General features: G+C 37.0%; 1 annotated feature.

The window, feature by feature from the left end:
- Positions 1130-1991: an enhancer, noted in NCBI's record as "OCT4-NANOG hESC enhancer chr18:57986175-57987036 (GRCh37/hg19 assembly coordinates)". NCBI's record gives its function as "activates a minimal SCP1, AML or CMV promoter by ChIP-STARR-seq in primed H9 embryonic stem cells {active_cell/tissue: H9 hESC(primed)}" and the evidence as "EXISTENCE:reporter gene assay evidence [ECO:0000049][PMID:30033119]".

The raw sequence follows: 4526 nt of genomic DNA, 5'->3' as shown, positions 1-4526 counted from the left end.
GCTGGAGTGCTTCCCACTCCAGGCACCCCCACCACTCACAATGGAGTGCTTTTGCTGACAGCCCCTTGCCATAGCATGCTCACCTGCAACCCTGCTCCCACCCTTCCAGAGCACATTCCCTTGCAGCAACCCCACTGCCCCAGCTGCAGTGCTTCCTGCCGGCAGTGCCCCCACACCACACACCAGAGCACTTTTGCTGACAGCCTCCCATCATAGTGCACCCTCCCATAACCCTCTGGAGCATATTCACCCGTGGCACCTCCACCACTCCCACCAGGATATTTCCCATGCATGTCACCCCCACCACCCCGATGATGGGCTGATGTCAGTCATCTAGGAGCACTTCAGCCCCTCCTACTCAGCCAGAGCTTGATGTCAAGGAATGAGAAGACACAGCCATGGACCCAGTTCCAGCCAGCCAGAATTAGAGCATGCAGCCCAGAAGTATACAACTGATCCATGGCCTCTAAAAGCATCCAGAATCAGAACCATTCAACCATACACAACTTGCACTGTAGTCAAATCCTCAAGGGCAATAAAGAGCATGAAAACAAAAGGCCCCTTCCAAAGGACAGCAACTCCAAAGGATAAAGAAACATCAGTTCTCACATATGAGAAAGAGCCAGCACAAAAACTCTGGCAACTCTAAAAGCCAGAGTAGTGTCTTCTTACCTCCAAATGATCACACCAGCCCCCAAGCAATGATTTTTTAACCAGATTGAAATGGCTAAAATGTCAGACATAGAATTCAGAATCTGGATGGCAAGGAAGATTATCAGGACAAAGAGAAGGCTGAAACCCAATACAAGGAAAACAGTAAAATAATCCAAGAGTTGAAAGATGACATAATCATTTAAAAAAAGCAACTTCTGGAAATGAAAAATTCACCATAGAAACTTCAAAATACAATTGGAGCATGAACAATAGAAAAGACCAAGCTGAGGAAAGAATCTCAGAGCTTGAAGAACACTCCTTCAAAGCAACACAGGCAGACAAAAAATTAATTAACAAATGAACAAAACCTCTAATATATAGGATTATATAAAGAGAGCAAACCTATGACTCATTGGCATTCCTGAAAGAAAAGGAGAAAAAGCAAGCAACTTGAAAAACATATTTGAAAGTTTGTTTCACAGAAATTTTTGCAATCTCACTAGAGAGGTTGACATGAAAATTCAAGAAATACAAAGAACCCCTGTAAGATGTTATCTACTCAAGATGACAATCCCCAAGACACATAGTCATCAGATTCTCCAAGGTCAATGTGAAAGAAAAAGCTTAAAGGCAGCTAGAGAGAAGGGGTAGGTCATTTACAAAGGGAACTTCATCAGCCTAACAGTAGACCCTTCAGCAGAAACCTTACAAGCCAGAAGAGACTGAGGTCCTATTTTCAATGTCCTTAAGAAAATAAATTCTAACCAAGAATTTCATATCCTGCCAAACTAAGTTTCATAAACAAAGGAGAAATGAAATCCTTTTCAGACACACAAATGCTAAGGGAATTTATTACCAATAGACCTGCCTTACAAGAGGTGACAAAGGGAGTGCTAAACATGGAAATGAAAGAAGATAACTACCATTACAAAAACATTTAAGTACACAGCTCATTGACATTACAAAGCAAGTACACAGCCCATTGACATTACAAAGCAACTATAGAATAGTCTACATAACAACCAGCTAACACCACAATGGCAAGATCAAATCTTCACATGTTAATACTGACACTGAATGTACATTGACTAAATGCCTAACTTAAAAGGCATGGAGTAGCAAGTTGGATAAAGACACAACACAGTTATCTGCTGTCTTCAAGAGACTTATCTAACAAGTAATGCCACCCGTATGCTCAAAGTAAAAGGATGGAGAAGGATCTCTCAGGCAATGGAAGACAAAAATGAGTGACTATTCTTATACCACGGAATTAGAAGCAGCTATTCTAAAATTCATATGGAACCAAAAAGAGACCAAATCACCAATGCAATCCTAAGCAACAAAAACAAAGCTAGAGGCATTACATTGCCCTACTTCAAACAATACTACAAGGCTACAGTAAGCAAAACAACATTGGGCTGGTACAAAAGCAGATATAAAGACTAATGGAACAGGGTAGAGAACCCAGAAATAGAACCATACACCTACAACCACCTGACTCTCAACAAAGTCATCAATAACAAACAATGGGGAAAAGACTCCATATTCAATAAATGGTGCTGGAATAATTGGCTAGCTATTTACAGAAGATTGAAATCAGACCACTTTTTTTGCACCATATATAAAAATCAACTCAAGATGGATTAAAGACTTAAATGTAAAACCAAAAACAATAAAAAGTTTAGAAGAAAACCTAAGAAATACCATTCTGTATATTCGCCTTGGCAAGGAATTTATGACAAAGTCTCCAAAGGCAATTGCAACAAAATAAAAAATTGGCAAGTATGTCCTAAGTAAACTCACGAGCTTCTGCACAAAAAAAGAAACTATAAGCAGAGTAAACAGACAACCTATGGATTGAGAGGAAGTATTCATAAACTATGCATCCAACAAAGGTCTAATATCCAGAATCTATGAGGAACTTAAATCAACAAACAAATAACAAATAATTCCATTTAAAAATGCCCAAAGGATATGAACAGATACTTCTCAAAAGAATACATACATGTAGACAATAAATATATGAAAAAAATGCTCATCATCACTAACCATTAGAGAAATGCAAATCAAAACCATAATGAGATACCATCTCACACCAGTCAGAGTGACCATTACTAAAAAATCAAAAAAGAACAAATGCTGGTGAGGTTGCAGAGAAAAGGGAATTTATACATGCTGCTGGGAATATAAAATAGTTCAACAACTATGGAAAAATCATGTACCCCAAACCCCAAATTAGAAAATAAGAGTAGAAAAATAAATTAATTCAATAATAATACTAAATAATAACCATGTATTGGTTTACTGGTGATTGTATCATATGGATAAGGGAAATAAATGATAGCAATGTTATAAGGGAGGGAAGTATTGAGAATTCTCTAAGTTACCTGCATTACACATGAAATAAATTGGTGTAATTTGAAGGCAAATGTGAGTAATTAAACATCTATCTTACCACTCCAGTTTATAACCTTAGGGAAACTATTTAAAAATAAGCATAATTAATGTGCAAATAAGGAGATAAATGGAATCATAATATTCAACTAAATTCAGAGAATGTAGAAGAAGCCTCTGGCATTAAAAAGTTACAAACATGTTTGATATTAATTCAAATATATCAATAACCACTCTAAATACAATGATCCAAAGACATGAATTAGAAGACAAAGACTACCAGAAGGAATTAAAAAATACCCAATTATATGGGTCTTTAAATATAAAGACTTGAGAATAAAAAGATTCAGATATGTTAAAAGTTAGGGATGAGGAAAGCTACACCGTGCTAACACGAATTTAAAAAAACAGCTGTAGTAGCTATGTTAATTTCAGAGAAAACAAACCATATTATAAGAAAAATTATTCAGAAGAAAAAGGAGGCACTACTTAATGACAAAGAGGTAAATTATTCAAGAAGACATAACAATATTAAATGTGTATACACCTAACAACAGAGAGCCAAAATATGCGGGAGAAAAAATTTGCAAAATACTTCTCTGATAAAGGACTTGTATCCAAATCACAAAAAAATCTCAGCACTCAACCATAAGAAACCAATTAGAGACCTCATCAAATAAGAGGTAGATGAGAAAAAGCATATGTGGAGATTATCAACATCATTTGCCATTGAGGAACTGCAAATTAAAACAAAATGAGATTCTACTCTATATCTATTAGATTGGCTAAAATTTAAAAACCTGACAATACCAACTGTTGTCAAGGATGCAAAGCAACAGGAACTCCCATTTATTGCTGGTGGGAATACAAAATGGTATAGCCACATTACAAAATAGCTTGGCAGTTTCTTACAAAGCTATAACCATACTGTCCCTCAATCATATTGGCTCTGGTTGAGAGATACCTGTGTTATGAAGCCCCTCTTCTCAGCTCCAGGGCTATTCCCTGGTTCTTTCACAAATTACACTCTCATTGGAACCTATAAATGGGCTCATTCCTGAAACAGGATGTGTGATTGGGCACCTATGTAATTATGCTCATGCTGGCTCTTCTAGGCCTCACCCCCAGCTATTCTTCCATTTCCAAGCCACTTTGGATAACATATTGAATATGAAGCTGCATGAAATGTGCCTAAGAGGCTATACCCAGACATTACCAACACAAAGATTCTCACATTTCTCTCATCCAATCTAGATACTTATTTCCTCTTCCCTAGAAATGTTGATTCTTGAGTAGGAATTAGGATATCCCTACATGACTTAGTGCCTCCTGTTTGCTCTAGCTATCTTCCAAGCTCTTCCTTTGAGAACAGAAAGGACTTTCCTTTTCCTGGGTAGCAGAATTTTCCTTTATATCATGTCTTTATTTAATTTACTCAGTAATTTTCTCTATACTTAATCCTTTAGGCTTTGTGTTGA

This window comes from Homo sapiens, chromosome 18 (assembly GCF_000001405.40).
Source record: "Homo sapiens chromosome 18, GRCh38.p14 Primary Assembly".
Lineage (NCBI taxonomy): Eukaryota > Metazoa > Chordata > Mammalia > Primates > Hominidae > Homo > Homo sapiens.
The sequence above is the reverse complement of the archived record's forward strand: the minus strand, read 5'-3'. Positions and strand labels throughout refer to the sequence as shown.